This window comes from Homo sapiens, chromosome 12 (assembly GCF_000001405.40).
Source record: "Homo sapiens chromosome 12, GRCh38.p14 Primary Assembly".
Taxonomy (NCBI): Eukaryota; Metazoa; Chordata; class Mammalia; order Primates; family Hominidae; genus Homo; species Homo sapiens.
In genome coordinates, this window is record NC_000012.12 from 55,433,061 (window position 1) to 55,454,109 (window position 21,049).

Genomic DNA, 21,049 nt, shown 5'->3' on the forward strand with positions numbered 1-21,049 from the left:
TCATATGGAACCAAAACAGAGCCCGCATCACCAAGTCAATCCTAAGCCAAAAGAACAAAGCTGGAGGCATCATGCTACCTGACTTCAAACTATACTACAAGGCTACAGTAACCAAAACAGCATGGTACTGGTACCAAAACAGAGATATAGATCAATGGAACAGAACAGAGCCCTCAGAAATAGCACCGCATATCTACAACTGTCTGATCTTTGACAAATCTGAGAAAAACAAGCAATGGGGAAAGGATTCCCTATTTAATAAATGGTGCTGGGAAAACTGGCTAGCCATATGGAGAAAGCTGAAACTGGATCCCTTCCTTACACCTTATACAAAAATTAATTCAAGATGGATTAAAGACTTAAACATTAGACCTAAAACCATAAAAACCCTAGAAGAAAACCTAGGCATTACCATTCAGGACATAGGCATGGGCAAGGACTTCATGTCTAAAACACCAAAAGCAATGGCAACAAAAGCCAACATTGACAAATGGGATCTCATTAAACTAAAGAGTTTCTGCACAGCAAAAGAAACTACCATCAGCCTGAACAGGCAACCTACAAAACAGGAGAAAATTTTTGCAACCTACTCATCTGACAAAGGGCTAATATCCAGAATCTACAATGAACTCAAACAAATTTACAAGAACAAAACAAACAACCCATCAAAAAGTGGGCAAAGGACATGAACAGACACTTCTCAAAAGAAGACATTTATGCAGCCAAAAAACACATGAAAAAATGCTCACCATCACTGGCCATCAGAGAAATGCAAATCAAAACCACAATGAGATACCATCTCACACCAGTTAGAATGGCAATCATTAAAAAGTCAGGAAACAACAGGTGCTGGAGAGGATTGGAGAAATAGGAACACTTCTACACTGTTGGTGGGACTGTAAACTAGTTCAACCATTGTGGAAGTCAGTGTGGCAATTCCTCAGGGATCTAGAACTAGAAATACCATTTGAGCCAGCCATCCCATTACTGGGTATATACCCAAAGGACTATAAATCATGCTGCTATAAAGACACATGCACACGTATGTTTATTGCGGCACTATTCCCAATAGCAAAGACTTGGAACCAACCCAAATGTCCAACAATGATAGACTGGATTAAGAAAATGTGGCACATATACACCATGGAATACTATGCAGCCATAAAAAATGATGAGTTCATGTCCTTTGTAGGGACATGGATGAAATTGGAAATCATCATTCTCAGTAAACTATCACAAGGACAAAAAACCAAATGCCGCATATTCTCACTCATAGATGGGAATTGAACAATGAGAACACATGGACACAGGAAGGGGAACATCACACACTGGGGACTGTTGTGGGGTGGGGTGAGGGGAGAGGGATAGCTTTAGGAGACCTACCTAATGCTAAATGATGAGTTAATGGGTGCAGCGCACCAGCATGGCACATGTATACATATGTAACTAACCTGCACATTGTGCATGTGTACCCTAAAACTTAAAGTATAATAATAATAAAATTAAAAAATTTTAAAAAAAGAATTACATTTTGGAGGGTGGGGCTGGGGACACTATATTTATCCTTATCTGAACAGTGTAATCACCTTGAGACCTTTTCTTTAGTAATAATCACACACACACACACACACACACACAGAAACACACACACAGTCCCATTAAACCTCACAATCTTTTTTCAGTTCAGCATAATTTCGATTATTTATTTAATTATAAATGTAAATATTAACACACACACAATGAAAATCAATGCCACAGAGCCCTTCATCCAGTTGCCTATGCTCAAGATTTTGAGTGCAGACACCCAACACCGTTCTTCCAGGAGCACATGTATGTCACACTCTGTCATGCCAGTTAGCTAAACAAAAGGTTTGTCTCTTCCTCTCCCGAAAATGCACATTTCCCTGTTTTGAGTATGTGTGTTGTTAGATGATGTGGGTCTCCACAGGAGCTCTTCAGCCCCTGGTGACTTTGAGTGGCAGCAACATTCTCTGCTGCGAGTAAGGAATCCCTGTATGGCCAGGCCACCTGCTACTGTTGCTTCCGTAATGATCTCCGCAGCACAGAATCCCTGATTAAGAAAAATAAAAGTGTTAATTCTAATGGCTTCACAGTAAGCCATTAATTTGCATATCCCCCAATTGTATCTTGCTTAAACCTAGAAAATAAATGATCTCATGACCAAAAAAAAAAAAAAAAATTCTAGGCTTAATAAATGAAATTAGCAATTTTGTAAGGCAGAAAGTTAATTTATAAAACTAAATGTGTATATTTATAGTAGCAATAAGTAGTTGAAATCCAAAATAAACAGTACCATTTACTGTCCTCAAAAATGAAATACTTAGGTATAAATCTAAGAAAATTTGTAAGGAATGTATAGGCTTAAAAATACAACCATTGGAACAAAATCATATGACCTTTGAAAAATGAAGCGATATACTATGTTTCTGAATAGAAGACTATTTTAATAAGCCAATTGTTCCTATCTTAATCTATAGATTCTTGTAATCCCAACCAAAATCTTAGTGTATTTGTAGATATTAACAGCTTAAACCTAAATTCGATGTCTAAAGGCAACAGAAATATGTTAGTCAAAACAATTTTGAAAAAGAATAAAGTATGAGTACTCATAATACTTCATTTCAAAATCTGCTATAAAGCTACAATAATCAAGATAGTGCAGTACTAGTAAAAAAAAATAAAGGCATATATCAATTTAAACAGAATAGACATACATGAAATGATGTCTAACAAAGGTACAAAGGCAATTTAATCAAGAAGGATTTTTTTAATAAATAGTTATATAACAATTGTATCTCCATATGTAAAGAAATAAATCTCAACATTTACCCCAAGCCTTATATAAAATGTGACCCCTAAGTAAAATATAGAGCCAAAGGTAAAATGTAAAACTATAAAACTCTAGAAGAAAACATAGGAAACAATCTGAATGACCTTGGTTTTTCAAGAAGTTTTTGTGCTTGACCAAAGTCATAATCCACAGGAAGAAAGTCTGGTAAGTTGAAATTCGTTTTATTCATTGTTTTAAAGTTCTTAAAACAACACTGTTAAGAATAAAATGATTAACTAAAGACTGGGAGTAAATGTTTTCAAATCACACTCTTGAGAGCACACTTGTCTCTAGAATATGTAAAGAACACTCTAACCTTAGAATAAAAAAACGAGCAACACAATAAAACCTGTGCATAATATTTGCATAGAGACTTCACCATAGAAGATTTATAGATTGCAAATATGTATATGAAAAGATGCTCTATGTCATGAATTATTAGGGAAATGCAATTAAAACCTGCATATCTATTTGAATATTCACAACAAAAATACTGGCAATATCAAATGTTTGCAAAGCTATAGAGCCACTGGGAGCCTCATACTTTTCTAGTGAGAATATAAAATGGTACAACCACTTGGGAAACCATTTGGAAGACTCACAGAAAGTTAAATTTACACATATCATATGAACTAGCAATTCTACTCCTATCCAAAAGAAATGAAAAATTATGTTAATTCTCAGGAGTCTGGCTCTTGATCTTGATACTGTTCAAAAAAAAATGTGTGATTTATCAGCCTCTACTATAGGAAATTACAAAGGCTTTCCCTAGCAGGGTTCACAGGAGCAAGCTGCCCTTCCCATATCAAATGATACACTGTTATGCATTACAGTCTTTGAAGGAAATAACAGTAAAGGACTCAGATCATCCTGGCCAAATATGCTGTTACATTTATCTTTAATTCCAGCCCAGGTGCCTCCACTTGCAGGCCTCCTTCTTGGGAAAACCTGAAGACACTTTTCTCCACTCGGATTCAGTACTCAGCACTTTTACATTCCTAGCCCTGCCACTCTCTCCTTCCCATGGCCCCTTGCTTCCATACAACTGCAAGAGATTTTTGTTGGGTGATCCCATGGTAGTAAGGGGAACCCTGTGTCTGTGTTGTTCTACCTGACACTCAATGCTGTGTCATTTCATGGTAGAAAATGGAACAGGCAGGAGTCCACATTTTCTCTGATTTTAGCCTTTCGTATACTATTTGCAGTGATTGATTTCAAACTTGACTGTTACTTTCCATTTAGGCTGGTTGCTTTTACCAACCACTCTAATATCCGGCAGCTCAACTCTCTCTTCAGCTCAGCAGGGCTCTTGATACCTCAGAAACATGTATGTGAATCTTTATGGCAGCTTTATTTATAATCAGCAAAAATGGAAACAATATATATGTTCCTCAACTGAGGAATGGATAAACAAACTGTGGTACATACATATATTGACATATTACTCAGCAACAACAAAAAAATGATTCATTCAACAATAATGAATTGGAAAACAGGGTTTGAGTGGATTTCTTTTTTACAAAAATAGCTGTAAGCAATGTAGTTTGTAGACTTGTAACATGGGTTAAGAATTATGAAACTAATTGTTGTACAAGATTTAAATAAATATTTAGATATATTGTCATAATAGAAGTCAGTATTTCTATGTTGAAGAAAGAAGTTACAATTAAAGAAAGATAATAATTACAATAAATTCTGTGATTGTAGTCAGAGGTATCATGATGGACTCTTGATTTGTTTCACTTGTTTTAATTTATAATCAGTAAATATAGGAATAAATATAGATGTGTCTTTATGCATGAATTAGCACACAATCATGTGCCACACAACGATGGTACAGTCAACAATGAACCACATATGTAACAGTGGTCCCATATAATTTTAATGGAGCAGAAAAATTTCTATCACCTGTTGACATCATAACTGTCATAATGTCATAGCACAACACATTACTCATTTGTTTGTGGTGTTGCCGGTGTAAACAAATCTATTACACTGCCAGTCTTATAAAAGTATAGCACATACAATTATCTACAGTACATAATATTTTAAAATAATAATAATTGGCTATGTTACTGGTTTATGCATTTGCTATATTATAATTTTGTTATTTTAGAATATGCTCCCTCTATTTATTAAAAAAGTTAATTATAAAGCAGCCTCAGGCAGATCCTTTGGTACGTATTCCAGAAGAAGGCATTGTTACCCTAAGAGATGACAACTCCTAGGCATGTTATTGCTCCTGAAAACCTCCCACTGGGACAAGATACGGAGTTGGAAAACAGTGAAACTGATCATTCTGACCCTATGTACACCTAGGCTAAAAAAGTTTAAAAAGTAAAAAAAAGATAAAAATTTTAAAAGTAGAAAAAAGCTTATAGAATAATGATATAAAGACAATGTTTTTGTACATCTATACATTGTGTATGTATTTTAAGCTAAGTATTATTATAAGAGAGTCAAAAAGTTTTAAAAAATGAAAAGGGTATATGGTTAAAAAGTTATAGTAAGCTAAGCTTAATTGATTATTGGAGAAAGAAAAATATTAAAATAAATGTAGTGTGCCCTAAGTGGAGGCATTTATAAAGTCTACAGTAGCATACAGTAATGTCCTAGGCCTTCACATTCACTCACCACCCACTCACTGACTCACCCAGGGTGACTTCCAGTCCTGCAAGCTCCATTCATGGTAAATGCCCTATACAGGTGTACCATATTTATCTGTTATACCATATTTTCACTATACTTTTTCTATGTTTAGATACACAAACACCACTGTGTTATAATTGCCATACAGTAGCATGCTACACAGGTTTGTAGCCTAGGAGCAATAGGCTATGCCATATAGCCTAGCTGTGAAGTAGGCTATACCATCTAAGTTTGTATAAGTATACCCCATGATGTGTGCACAATGGCAAAATCACCTAATGAAGCATTTCTCAGAGTGTATCACCTTTGTTAAGCAGTGCATGACTATATATATTGAATATATATATATATATATATATATATATATATATATATATATATCTCCTATCTCTAACTACCTTGAAGGGGAAAAAGCAGTGACACCTCAGTGACAATGGATGCACCTAGCACTCAGGCATTGGGTTTTCCCTTGCCGTTCCTTCTCTAATAAATGGAATTACTTCTCCTTGTAAAACTGGTATATTTTAGGAATGAGGTATAGAGAATTCAAGGTAAGTCTGAAGCAACTTTTGGTTTCAGAAAATAAGGATGGTCTAAAAATTCCAAAAGATGATAGCATATTGAAAGGTCACAGCACTCCACCTAAAAATGCTCCCAATAGCCAGTTAAACATCTTGATTGGATTGGATTATAATCCCCAGAATAAAATGAATATTGATGAGTCTACACTGACACAAGCAAGTAAGTAAATAATCAGTTAGGAAGAAGTGGCAAGCTCTTCCTCACAGAATTTCAATTAGTAAATGTAGAAGGAATGAGGAAAATGATAAATCAGCATTAGCACACCACCATAATCATTGCTCCAAGTAAGATTTACAGATGAATGTTAAAGTGAATGGGTGAAAGTTTATATAGCATACTCACAGAGTATCAAAAAAAATATCCCAAATATTTTGTAATTAAAATGATCATTGTAGCATTATTCACAATAGTCAAAATATAGAATCAACATGTGTCTATAAACAAATGATTAGATAAAGAAAACATGATATATATATATAAATATATATACACACACAGTGAAGTACTAATTATCCTTGAAAAAGAAGAAAATGCTGTCGTTTGTAACAATGTAGGTAAACCTGGAGGACATTAGGTTAAGTGAAATAGCTCAGGCACAGAAAGATAAATATGGCATAATTTTACCAATATGTGGAATATTTAAAAAGTGGAGCTGATGGAAATAGAGAGTACAATGGCATTTACTAGGGACTTGGAAAATACGAGGAGTTTGAAGAGATGTTGGTTAAAGGATATAAAATTTAAGTTAGATAGGAGAAATAAGTTCAACAGATTTATTGAAAAAAATTGAAGATAAGTAAAGTTAAATGAAGCATTTCAGATCAGCAAAATCCAAGAGAATTCTTTATCAACTGAACCACAAAAAAAGACATGAAAATTAAAAGATGAAGGAAGAACTGAGGAATTGAATAAATAAGGATTCATATGTTGGTAAGTAAAAATGAATATTGATCATCAGATTAAGTATAATATCTGGAGAAGTGTAAAAATATTTAAAATTAAAATGAATTTTAAAAATTATGAAAAGCTTATTTACACTTATTTTACATGTTGATTGTACTCTTCTCCACATATTTTTCCTCCTGGGTCCCAAGGATAAAAGGAACCCTTATCTCAGACATGCCCTTTTCATCACAGAGTGGAGAGAGTATGGGTAAAACCACCTGGTGATTCTTGGGTAAAATTAACTCAGATTACAGAAGGTAATGACAATGATTTGAGAAAATTGAATTCTCACAGGGAAGAACAGTGAATATTTAAGAATGATGAGATATTCTACCACATTTAACCCTGTTGGTCACAAATATTCACTTCCCTCTTTGCTGCATGCAAAACATATTTATCCCTCTCTCAGGGAGACAGTCCAAAGGTCACATCAAGTCAGCCATTGTGCTCAACTTCCAGGATCTAATGGCAATTTCTATACTTTAGAGCCACAACTGCCTTCTCTAAATTCAGACAGTTGATTTGTCTAATGCACACACCTTACAATTACTAGAGGAACAGGAAAAAAACAATCTAAGAAACACTATCATTCAGAGAGGATAGGAATTGGGAATACACAGCAAACACTGTCAATACCAAGTCTAAAATAGAACTTGATAGGCAATGCAGGGGCCTCTTACTCTGTAGCTGTGGGAAGCCTCTTGACTGGTTCCCAGTTACGTTCCTTGAGAATAAGACCCAGCCACTTTTATTTCATGGCTCTTGAGTCACAATCTGAGAGGTATCTGCTTTTCTTTTTTACTTTGCCATATCCAAAAACGTTCTAAAGAAATTTTAAAGAACATTTATTGGGGGAACCCCCCCTCCGATAATTCAACGTTATCTCAGATAGGTTCTTTTCTATTTCCCTAAGTGTCAGCCGGTCTGAGAAATAAAGGGAAAGAGTACAAAAGAGAGAAATTTTAAAGCTGGGTATCTGGGGGAGACATCACATGTCGGCAGGTTCCGTGATGCCCCTTGAGCTGCAAAACCAGCAAGTTTTTATTAGTGATTTTCAAAGGGGAGGGAGTGTACAAATAGGGTGTGGGTCACAGAGATCACATGCTTCACAAGGTAATAAAATATCAGAAGGCAAATGGAGGCAGGGTGAGATCACAGGACCAGGGCAAAATTAAAATTGCTATTGAAGTTTCGGGCATGCATTGTCATTGATAACATCTTATCAGGAGACAGGGTTTGAGAGCAGACAACCAGTCTGACTAAAAATTTACTAGGTGGGAATTTCCTTGTCCTAATAGGCCTGGGAGCACTACTGGAGACCGGGGCTTATTTCATCCCTTATCTGCAACTGTGAAAGACAGATGTTCCCAGAGCGGCCATTTTAGAGACCTACCCCTGGGAATGCATTCTCTTTCTCAGGGCTGTTTCTTGCTGAGAAAGGGGAGTTCAGTGATATTTCTCCTATTTGCTTTTGAAAGAAGAGAAATATGGCTCTGTTCCACCCGGCTCTCAAGCAGCCAGACCTAACGGTTATCTCCCTTGTTCCCTGAACATCACTGTTATCCTGTTCTTTTTTCAAGGTGCCCAGATTTCATATTGTTTAAACATAAATGCTTATGAACAATTTTGCAGTTAACACAATCATCACAGGGTCCTGAGGTGACACACATCCTCAGTTTATGAAGATGACGGGATTAAGAGATTGAAGTAAAGACAGGCATAGGAAATCACAAGAATATTGATTGGGGAAGTGATAAATGTCCATGAAATCTTCACAATTTATGTTCGGAGATTGCAGTAAAGACAGGCAAAAGAAATTATAAAAGTATTAATTTGGGGAACTAATAAATGTCCATGAAATCTTCAAAATTTATGTTCTTCTGCCATAGCTTCAGCTTGTCCCTCCATTCAGGGTCCCTGACTTCCCTCAACAAACATTAAAGAAAAATAAAACTCCCTTGGGACTAAGTTTATTTCTTAGCCTTCTTTTTTCTTTTTCTTTTTGTCTACAGACTGTGGAGCAGAAAATTGATTTACATTCAATCTCTCCTACCCAGGCTAACCACTCAAAAACATGATCCTCTTTTAACATGCTGGATTCTTACTTGTATATATCAATAATCTCACTCATTATTATTTTTAAGTGCCTATTTACACTTAATTACAGATACTTTAAACTTAAGAGATTTTTAAGGCAGAGCTATGTCCTTCTGAAAAAGTCCCACACCCAACAGAAATTACATACTTAATGTTAAGATATTGAGTTAATAGATTCAGAGGCTGAAACAAATAATGTGGTAGCAACATCACTGGCATGTTCTTGCTGTGAGATGGTTTTAATATACCTCAAAGAATGACTAAATTTTATTTTTAACTTGGGGAGGTGAGATATGGTTGGATCTTCAAATCTAATTCCCAGTTGTTTGTGGATCTTCTCTATTCCCATTCATACCAAGTGCCAAATAGGCCAATTCTTTTATCAGTTTCTTTATAGCAAACAGGTTAATTCCAAATTCCCATTCATAAAGCCACAGATGCTTTTGGTATATATCTACCTTTCAGATTATCTCAGGTGATGACTTTACTAAAATTTTCACTACTGCAGCATAACCTAGGCTGTTGCTGCTATATTTTCACTTCAAAGGAAGTCTACAGGTCAAGAAATAAATTTCTTTTAAATGGAGGGGCCCTGAATAATCATTAAAAAATCTACGAAGTGTACATAAAAACATTCAACATATTCTATAGACAATTTTAATAGTATAATTAAGTTTAACAATGTTGATGGAGCAATGGTAATCTGCAAAATTAAATGAATTTCTAATATCATTATATCAAAAATATGCTATGTATAAATAATATGTAAATATTATATAACTATATATTATATATAATTGAAAATAACATAGAACTACACAAATACTTGACAATGAATCTAATGATGGAAGCATAACATACACAAAAGAAACAATAAAATCTTATTGATAAAAATTTACATAGAGGCTATGACTTTCATATCTCTTTGTTATTTAACCTTAAGCAATACTTCTGGCCAGCCCTCCAAACCTAATTTTGTGCACTTTTAAAGCATTCACAGTCAGTTTGAGATGTTACTTTTAAATACGCTTATTTAAAAATCCCAGAAACAAACATTACAAAGCTGGAATGCATTGAAACAGTGGTTCTTAATGGTGTGAACTGTTTTTGAAGGTCATCCATGTAATGATGGTCTTACAAGACATTGTCTGTAGACAGAATAAATAATATATCTGACCTATGTAATTTCTTCTGTTTTTCAAATGTAAATAAGTTATCCTATGATTAACACAATATGAACTGATTTTACAATATCTCTGTATACATAGTAACTTTCATCCACACTGATTTCCATATATGGTAGATACTTCACCAAATTATATTATGGGGGATTAGATTAAGCAAAATATTTTGATTATTAAAAAACAGACATACTCATATCCTTATAAAAGTGTATTAGGAAATAGAATCAGACTTGTGCATTATTTTTCTCATTAGCATGGGCACCAGGCCTCTATCTGATGCTATTGTTCTGCATTACTCTCTCAAAAGAAAGTGTCTCTGTTGCCTCCTATTTTAGTTGCTTTGCCAAAGTTAATTACACAGAAGCTTCATTAGTGATGTTTGAACCTGGCCACTAAGGATCCTCTATTTATTCATATGATCCCAGTGCACTTCCAAGAGATAGAGCAGAAAAAATAAATATTTTGGGGATAGAAAAGCTAACTCTCTGCTCTTCTGAAATCAGAGGAAATCTGTTGCTTTCCTCCCTTACATCAAAATTTCTTACCATTATGACAGAGTCCAAGGAAAATATTTCCAAAGTGTAAAATAAGGAAGTTTCTAAAAAGAGTGTTTATTGTAGCGTGAAAATGCAAAACTAGGAGACCTCAAGATCCTTCAGGAAGTACCTGAAGGTTGATGATCAAGTTAAACCAGTACAAAGTTACAACTTCCTTAACACAACACAGTTCAACCCATTAGGGAGCTGCCACCTGAAATCGTGAAAAATTATCAAAACAGTAAGTATTTTAAGGTAGGTATGACAATTACTTTCTCATTTGAGAGATAAGAGAAAGAAATTTTTGTTGGAGTACTCTTCTGTAATTTTGCTAGTTTAAGCTTGTTTCAAATTTTTAATATGGAAAACTGTAGCGAACATGTTTTTAAACTATTAACAGATCTTTGACAAGACTAAACATCATAGCTAGGACATATTTATGCATTCCTGTGTAGTCACACATGCAGTAGTTTGTGGTCACCCATAAAATATAAAGGACACACAGAAATATGCTTCCAAATCCTTGGAATATATACAAAAAAGCATATTACATTGCTTATATTACATTGCTTATAATGTTAGCTTTTTTCTAAATTGTAAATATTCTCTTATGGTTAAATGTCTGGCCAGAAATAATTCAATCCCTCATATTTATTAGTTCAACAAAAATGCTCCCTTAATGTCTAAGTGACACTAAGACCGAGAGACCTTTGTGTTGTTGCTCATGATGCACTGCACTGCACAAGACGATCAAGGCGTAGAAGACTATTTCACTAAGATAGCTTTTTCCTAGTGTGTGTTCAAAGGGAGAGGCATGAAAACGAAGATGACAGAAAGGATGTCAATTCTCAGTTACTTCATAGTTTATGCTGCTTATTGCACTTTTCATGACCCTGAAGTAGTTGGGAGAAAATTAGTTCTTAAACCAAAATCAAAGAAAAAGGCATAGTAAATTACTAGTACACTACTTTGCTTGTATAAAAGCAAAACTTAGAATACATTGACTTTATCTAACAAAGTCAAAAATGGTATTTGCATGAAAGAGGATTGAGGCAACATGAAAAACCTCAGAATATTTGAAAACAAGGAACTGTTTTTCTTTCCTGGAATAAGATGATGAATAGTGTGAGAGTTTCGCAAAGAGACCAGTTTTGGGGGCAGTAAGGTAATCAAAGGCAACAGTTTTAGTTTTATGGATTTCTTGAAAAACCTTGAGAGTTTCACTAAGAAGTACTAAGAAGTAAGCATATGTGACAAGCTGACTGTGTCTTACTGGCCAGTATGCTCTGTTAGCATCTTCATTCTCATTATGCCAGATTCGTACCATCTCTCTTAACAGATTTGTATTAGGCTTTCTGCATAAGTATGTATTTTCCTGTAATGGTACCTTTAAAGCAAGATGGGCCTTGCCATATGTATCACATGGGATTTTATGAAGCACATGTCCATAAGAGTAAGGAATTCATTTTCCCAGGCCCAGAAGACTGATGATATTTGCAGTAATTTTTTATACGCAAAGCAGGTGAAAAAGCATTCATATAACAAACTAATTGGTATCTTATAAGGAGATACAATTTCATTGAGTGATGGAGAAATAGCAAGAACCCTAGAGACTGTGTTGTCAGATAAGACATATGTTTGTAGCTACCATTATAAATAATTAATGCAGGCTAAGGACTGGAAGCAGTTATTGCTCCATGAACAGAAATAAACTCATTTCCTCTTGCTGAAGAATGTCATAATGGTCAGAGATGACATGAACAAAATAAGACCCATAATGCAAATTAAAGAAGCCAGTTAGTATTTTAGTCATCCTTCATTTGTGCCTGAAATTATAAATATATAAATTAGGTGATTGCTGATGGCATAAGGGACAACACTGATAGGCAGCTTAGATGATGATGTCAAGGGCGGGCAACAAACTTCCTTAATTGCCTAGGTGGTTCTCAAATATTGATGTGCATATGAAACTCTTGGTAATTATACCACAGCTATTCTAATTTCTAATTTATCCACTAGGGCCTAACCTCATTTGCCTATTTCCTGGCTAAAACGTATTAGCTCTGTGTCCCAGAAAACTATACTTGTGACAAATGTCTTTGATATTTCTAATTCAGAGAATTATACACACTAAATAACCTAGTCAAATGCAAGTATTTCTGGAAGAATAAAGTAAAGCATTGGATAAACACTACAGTAGTAATTTCCTTCTTTCCTTCTTTCCTTCCTTCCTTCCTTCCTTTCTTTCTTTCTTTCTTTCGTGAGACGGAGTTTCGCTCTTGTTGCCGAGGCTGGAGTGCAATGGCGAGATCTTGGCTCATCGCAACCTCCACCTCCCAGGTTCAAGCAATTCTCCTGCCTCAGCCTTCCGAGTAGCTGGGATTACAGGCATGTGCCACCACACCCGGCTAATTTTGTATTTTTAGTAGAGATGGGCCTTCTCCATGTTGGTCAGGCTGGTCTTGAATGCCCGCCTTGGCCTCCCAAATTGCTGGGATTACAGTCATGAGCCACCGCGCCCGGCCAGTGGTAATTTTAGTGTAAATTAAATGAGTTTCAAAATACAGAGCCTCGCCTTGTGCATGGCTTGCATCATATTTTCCAACAGCTAGGTGGAAGCATATCCTAACACAGAATTTAGTGGATGTGCTCTGACAGGAAAGCAAAGAGAGAGAAGGATCCAGAGCTGCTTAATTCCTTGAGAAGAGTGGAGAACTCCATGCAATAAATGCACACAGCCAGTATACCTCAGGGAATCAGGCAAAAAGAGGTTGGGAATTTAGAAAGTTGAGTGTGGAGAACAAAAGCTGTGGAGGCAAAATACACTTGTCACAACTTGTCTTCTGAAAAAGAGGAAGATATATTCACTCTTAGTCAATACAATATAAAGACTGAAAAAAAAATTAAAAGTGCCATTGCATTTCTGAAGAGAAAAAGAGATGAGAGGCTGGTTAAACTCAAAGTTCAGGTAAAGGATCGTGTGAGAAGGTGAAAAGTAGAAAAGGGCAAACCATAGGTCCAATAATTAAATAGGTAAATTTTGTCTTTAAGACCGTCAGAACAAGTATTCTATCTCCTCTCCAAACCGTATTGTTGAACTTACACCTGTAGATGCAATTCACCGATAGCCTAGTCTATTCACAAGGAACTTAGACCAGTGAGTCTAGGGCTGAATGCTATTCTGCAGAATGTGCTGCAGCCTGTTAATACTTACAGAAGTTACGATTCATTTAGATAGTCTCATGGTCCTCACTATATACGTTTTAACAGTTTTATTGAGGTATAATCTATACTAAAAACTGCACTTGCACACAACCATGAAACCATCACCACAATCAAGGTGATAAACATATCCATCACTCCTCCAAAGTTTCTGTGAGTCTTAAGTTAGTTTTCTTGGATTCTTTTTAGTTTTTGGGTTTTTTTTTTTTTACATAAACACTTAACATGATATCTATTCTCTTAAGCCTTTCCAGTGCACAATAAGGTTTGTTAACTATAGGCACCATGTTGTTCAGCAGATCTCTAGAACTTACTCATCCTGCATAACTGAAACTTTATAACTATTGAACAACAACTCCCCATTTTCCCATCACTTCAACCCTTGGCAACCAAGATTCTAACTCTCCGCTTCTGTGAATTTGACTATTTTACATGCCATATATAAGTATAATCATGCAGTATTTGTCCTTCTGTAACTGGATCATTTCACTTAGTATAACCTCTTGTAGGTTCATCTGTGTGGTCACAAATCACATGATTTTCTTCTTTTTAAAGCTGAACAACATTCCATTATTGTATTATATATTCCACATTTTCTTTATCCATTCATCTGTTGATGGACATTTGGGTTGTTTCCATATCTTGGTTATTGTGAATAATGCTCAATATTTAAGAGTAAAGTTAGTTCTTTAAACTCCTTATTTCTATAATTTTGCATATATACCAACAGGTGGGATTACTGGATCATATAGTAGTTATATTTTAAATTTTTTGAGGAAAGTTTCATACTATTTTCTATGGTGGCTACACCATTTTACATTTCTAACCAGAGTGTACAAGCGTTTCTATTTCTCTATGTACTTGCCCAAAGTTACCTTTTGTTTTGTTTTTCTTGTTTTTTAATAGCCATCCTTATATGTGTGAGGTGATATCTCATTGTAGTTTGATATGCATTTCCCTGATAATTGATGATATTAAGCATCTTTTTATATACCTTTTGGCCACTCATAAGTCTTCTTTGGAGAAATTTCTATTCAACTCTTTTGCCTGTTTTTAAATTGCATTGTCTTTTTTATGCTATTGAATTGTAGGAATTTTTTATGTATTTTGGAGATTAAGCCCTTATCAGATATATGGTCTGTAAATATTTTCTCCCATTTCATAAGTTGTGTTCTAAATTCCCCAGCATTCTCCAAATTACTACCATTTATCTGTTCATTTTGAAAATATAAGGATGAGTGAATTTGTATAACATTAATTAGAAATTAATTAATTTAATTATAGAAAAAAATTTAAAAACTGTTAGCTGAGTAGTCACAGTTATTTTTTCACTATACCTGGTTCCAAACTCCTGAGAATTCCAACATAGCAAAGAAACTTAACCATGATTACCCCTCCTGAGGGGTAATAGAATCACCAAAAAAGACAGGATTAAAAAAAAAAAAAAAGACCTAAAACTAAACTTTTCCTACCCACATATCTTTTACCTTATCCTGTATCTGGCTTCCATTCACTGCAAAAAAAAAAAAAAAAGAAAGAAAAGAAAAGAAAAAAGAAATATACTGCTATTGTAGCGTTGTTTTCCTTAACTCAAAAGTGTTGGGTCATAAGAAATTTAGAATGCTGTAGTATTTTAGGTGGACTGATGTACTGGAAAAAGAGGGAGGGGTTCTGACCAGGCAAAGAAAAGCTGAATAATACAGTGTTTTAAACTCCATGATTATTCCAGGCTATGGAAATGTAATGACATTATTTTTCTATTACAAGAAGTAGGTTTGTTCATATTTCTTTATGCTAAGTATTTTTGTTTCTCTAAAAACACTCCTCACTGAGGTTGGTTCTATTATAGCACAGAAAATTGGGCAACTAAATGAACCTTCTAATATGTGTAGAAAGAGATGGGTGGAACTAGAATTATGCAAATAAAAAGACTATTTCACTAATACATTCAGGTTGTATTAATCAGCAAATGTACTAGGAGTGTTGGTATGAAAGAAACAGACTTTAGGATATAAATAAGAAAGCAAATTATTTAAACAAAAAAGAAAATTCTACCTTGGTAATAATCATAAGCATAGCAGCAATTCTAATCTTCTTGACATTGCAGTATAAGCCTTTTAGCTTAATATTGTCTAAACTTTAAAATACTTTTTAAAAATGGGTTTTTCAAAAAAACTTTTAAAACTCTGCTTTTTAAGAGATAAAAATACAGATACAGTTGTATAAAAGGTACATTAACTCATTGAAAAATTGTTGAACACATGCTATGTGTCAAGCAGAGTCTCCACAGCAGTAAAAGATGTAACAGAGAAAGAACAAAGCTCCTATTCATAGTGTTTACTTTTGAGTGACCCTAAAGATCCACTGATCCTAAGAGTATTAGGATATCTTTGAACTTCTTGGGTATATCCATGCATATAATCTGTATGAATTCCACCTGATTTTTCCATAAGAGAATCCGAAGTCTCTCTTAGAAAAGAAATGAATCTTTAGACACATAGTAGGTGGTTTTGGCCTTTAAAAAAAGAGGAAAACAGAGAGTAAAACAATTCTAGTCTCTAGAAAATGATATATGAGAATCAAATTCTGGAAAAAAGGAAAAAAAAATTCTAAGTTCTTAGGAAGGAAAAGGTCAGGAAAGAGATTACTATAAACAACCAAGCAGATAACAATAGCATGTAAGGAATTATAATATCAAGGTAAAGAAAGAAATAGTTCAGAGAGCAAAAAAAAACTCTGGAAAATGTATTAGCAAAATAGCATTTGCAGAACTTTGAATTGAAAATAGTCTGGCCTTTTGTCTAAGAATGTACTAAAAATGATAGTGCAGTTTGAAACAGGTATGAAAATAAGAACTTTGAACCAACTGACAGGAATAAGCATTAAAAATATAGCTTACTGTCACTATGTAGACAAATCTGTTTTATTTCTTCACTAAACTTACCAAGAACCCTACATAGGCCAGATATAAGAGAAAATAAGGATATATAAAATATTGTCTCTAAAGAAGTTTACAGAAACATACGGGAGAAATACAAGTATAGTGAAGAGTATAATACAATGTGATATAATCCAAACCAAGTACATAAGTACTTGGGAAAAGACACAGGAGCATAGTTTCACATTCACTGTGTGGGTAAATGAACATTTCCTTGAAGAATCAATATGTATGCACCAGTCAGTCAAAAGATTAGCCTGTGCAGACAAGAGCATGTAGAAAATTGAAGAATTGCAAGTAGTCAATGCTAAGGCAACTTGAGCTATGAAGAAGAAAGGTAAGAAAATGGTAAGTGATGAGATGGGAAAATCAAGGAAGGTCCTGCCCATGAAGAGCCTGGCAGTCCACATGAAAGTGATTAACCTGTAACAAGCAATAGGTAACACCAGTGGAACAGAAATCTCAAAGAAGGAGCATGACTTGACTTAGAGCATGTGGTATGTGAGGTGTCTGTGGAACACCCAACTTGTGATGTATACTTAGCAATGCTTTTTACCTGATCTTTGGCTACATCACATACATGATCATCAAATCACCCTTGAAGAGTAGAGGGTAAGAAGAGTAACAAACAGAAAACAAGAAGCAGGAGGTCTGAAGATTATTGAGAATACCAATATTTCACAGATGGAGAAAGAGGAGACTAAAAAGAGAAACAATAAAAAGACAGATATAGAAAGAATATCAGTATTAGACATGAAGCCCATTGAAAGAATTATTGAACTTTAAAACAAAAATACTATAGCAATTACAGGCAGGATTAAAAACCTAAATGTGCCCTTAGCTTCAACAGTAATGAAGTCTTTGCAGATTCTTCAGGGGGTGGAGGTGAAAGTGAGGACACAGAGGGTTAAAGCATAAATTGAGTAGGGGTGAGATGAGGAGACGTTAATGTCTTTTTAAATTTTTTTTAATTTTATGCGTACATAGCAAATGTATGTATTTATAGGCCACATGAAATATTTAGATACAGGGAGGTAATATTAAATAAGACATCATGGAGAATGAGTTGTCCATCCCCTCAAGCATTTATCCTTTGAGTTACAAATAATTCAGTTATATTATTTGTTATTTTAAAATATACAATTAAGTTATTATTGACTATAGTGTCCCTATTGTGCTATCAAATAGTAATTATCCTTTCTATTTTTTTGTACCTATTAACCATTCCCACCTACCCCCGAACCCCCCACTATACTTCCCAGCCTCTGGTAAACATCCTTCTACTCTCTATGTCTATGAGTTCAACTGATTTGATTTTCAGATGTCACGAATAAGTGAGAACATACGATGTCTTTCTAAAGGACCTAAAGATATATTGAAAAAGACGCAGCCTAGAAGACTATATTTAGTGGTGTTAAATGTAGATTTGCTTCTGGAGCTTGAAAGGAAAGGAATCACAACTGAACATCAAATGAAAGCCTATGAGAATATTCATTTTGTAAAAACCTTGAACACAACTTTTTCTCACATTATAGATAAAATAATTGTACATCAACCCATCTACAGGTACTAGAGGGTTGAGAATAAGGAATGCCAGCAGAGAAGAATAAAAAGACCGGGGAAAGGCTCAGGGACAACGGTTGTATTCTGTTGTCATTGTTGTTTGTTTGTTTTTCAGGAAAAATGTAATTTAATCTTAATACAATCCTCAGATGATAACAACTGAAGAGAATTAATGTTATTAATTACCTGGATATATCCTATATTCAGAGTTTGTCCTGGACAAAAAATGTTTAAGTACCTATAAAATGACATCATTTCTTTCTAACCCATTTGTAAATCCATTCCATGTAACAAACTACAATCAACTGCATTTGTAAATTCTGATGGATAAGGAATGATCAAAGAAAAAGTTGGATTGTTTTACAAAACTTGATTTCTTAAGGAGATATCCACTGCTCATATATGTGAAATTTAGAAAGGTTATTGGAACACTGGCAACATTGATTATTCTATAAAGGGAGAAAATAAAAGTAGGCTGGTCAGCTTGGCTTCTAGATGCATATCCTTTTGCTATAGAATTCAAATATCTACCCCCTCATAAACCGTGATTTTTAAAGGAGGATTGGGTAGATATCAAAGAACAGTGATGAAAAACCACACAGTAATAAGAACTTTTATCCTGCTGGGACTGACAGGTGACCCACACCTGCAAGTTCTGCTTTTTATCTTTCTATTTCTCACCTACATGTTGAGTGTAACAGGGAACCTGACTATTATCACCCTCACATTGGTGGACCACCACCTTAAAACTCCTATGTACTTCTTTCTCAGAAATTTTTCCTTCTTAGAAGTCTCATTTACTACAGTCTGCATTCCCAGATTCTTGTACAATATATCAATGGGGGACAATACCATTACCTACAATGCTTGTGCCAGTCAAATATTCTTTGTTATTCTCTTTGGAGCAACAGAATTTTTTCTCTTGGCAGCCATGTCCTATGACCGCTATGTGGCCATCTGTAAACCCCTTCATTATGTGGTCATCATGAACAACAGGGTGTGTACCTTATTAGTTCTCTGCTGTTGGGTGGCTGGCTTGATGATCATTGTTCCACCACTTAGCTTAGGCCTCCAGCTCGAATTCTGTGACTCCAATGCCATTGATCATTTTAGCTGTGATGCAGGTCCTCTCCTAAAGATCTCATGCTCAGATACATGGGTAATAGAACAGATGGTTATACTTATGGCTGTATTTGCACTCATTATCACCCTAGTTTGTGTGATTCTGTCCTACTTGTACATAGTCAGAACAATTCTGAAGTTCCCTTCTGTTCAGCAAAGGAAAAAGGCCTTTTCTACCTGTTCATCCCACATGATTGTGGTTTCCATTGCCTATGGAAGCTGCATCTTCATCTATATCAAGCCCTCTGCAAAAGATGAGGTGGCCATAAATAAAGGAGTTTCAGTTCTTACTACTTCTGTCGCACCCTTGTTGAACCCCTTCATTTACACCTTGAGGAACAAGCAAGTGAAACAAGCTTTCAGTGACTCTATAAAGAGGATTGCATTTCTCTCAAAGAAGTAGAAGCTGTGATGAATTGGCATAAAGTGAATGAAGAAGGCTCCCTAAATGTCATCCTACAGCTTTTAACTTATTTCATTGCTTCCTGACTACAGTTTAGTCATGTGAACCTTCTCAATGACATTTAATATTGCATCCTAATCCCATCTTTATCAAAATCCTTATTATTTCGAACCAAGGTCATACATTGTGTTTTCCCTCATTGTGAAACTAAAAATTACATTTCCAAAAATCAAGGTTTTCTCCACTTCTGATCTAGTCTTTTCTTCATTTCTCTAGGGAAGAAAAAAGTAAGAATACTTATCAGTGTATACATTATCTACAAGTTAATTTATGTAGTAATAAAAATTCTTTCTCTAATACAAAATTATCAAAATTAATATTGTAAATCTAAGAATCAAAACAAAAAATAGAAAGCAATGAGAGACATATATTAAAAATAAATTAAATCAAATAAGGTATTCCAGGTCTATCAGGATAACTGGGAAAGAAGACATCAACAGGAGTTAAAATTAATCCTATTTGAAGAAATGGAAACACCTTCAAAATCTCTGGCAAGACATATTAGCTATTGCTTTATATTACATGAGAGGAAACTCATGCAAAATGTATACATTTAATTTAAAACAAATGTAAACATAAAATCACTTATTATGGGTTACAAAATCAGAATGAATGCATAAGAGCAAATTGAAACACCGAAATTTAAGTGCTTATTAAATAAGATAACTATTTACCACAACATAAAAGTAATTAAAGGGTTAAGAAGATATGGAGGATAACCAACCAATATTCTTTTTTATACAGAGAAAAGAAGAAACTAAAAATGTAAAAAAAATAGAATTATGATCAAGTGGAAAATAGAGGAAAATATTCAAAAGTTTAAAAGGTTAGAGCTGAAAGAAATAATTACTTCCACAGGCTGAAAAGGATGAAGATTAAATTATTACAAGAAAATTG

At 34.6% G+C, this 21,049-nt stretch overlaps 1 protein-coding gene and 1 long non-coding RNA gene across 2 annotated transcripts; one reads left to right on the forward strand and one right to left on the reverse strand.

The window, feature by feature from the left end:
* Positions 1-1,673: 1,673 nt before the first annotated feature.
* LOC124902940 (uncharacterized) lies at positions 1,674-19,513 on the reverse strand. Its single transcript, XR_007063324.1, has 2 exons — positions 19,426-19,513; positions 1,674-2,071 (listed from the first exon to the last, which is right to left on the reverse strand). It is a non-coding gene; the product is annotated as an uncharacterized LOC124902940 (long non-coding RNA).
* On the forward strand, positions 11,016-20,287 carry OR6C2 (olfactory receptor family 6 subfamily C member 2). Its single transcript, NM_054105.2, has 2 exons — positions 11,016-11,099; positions 18,267-20,287. Exon 2 carries the CDS (start codon positions 19,154-19,156, stop codon positions 20,090-20,092), a length of 939 nt encoding a protein of 312 aa, NP_473446.1. The 5' UTR covers positions 11,016-11,099; positions 18,267-19,153; the 3' UTR covers positions 20,093-20,287.
* The last annotated feature ends 762 nt before the right edge of the window (positions 20,288-21,049 follow it).

Excerpts from the sequence above, each read along its gene's own strand:
- OR6C2 (NM_054105.2), top strand. The coding sequence starts at position 19,154 with ATGAAAAACCACACAGTAATAAGAACTTTTATCCTGCTGGGACTGACA.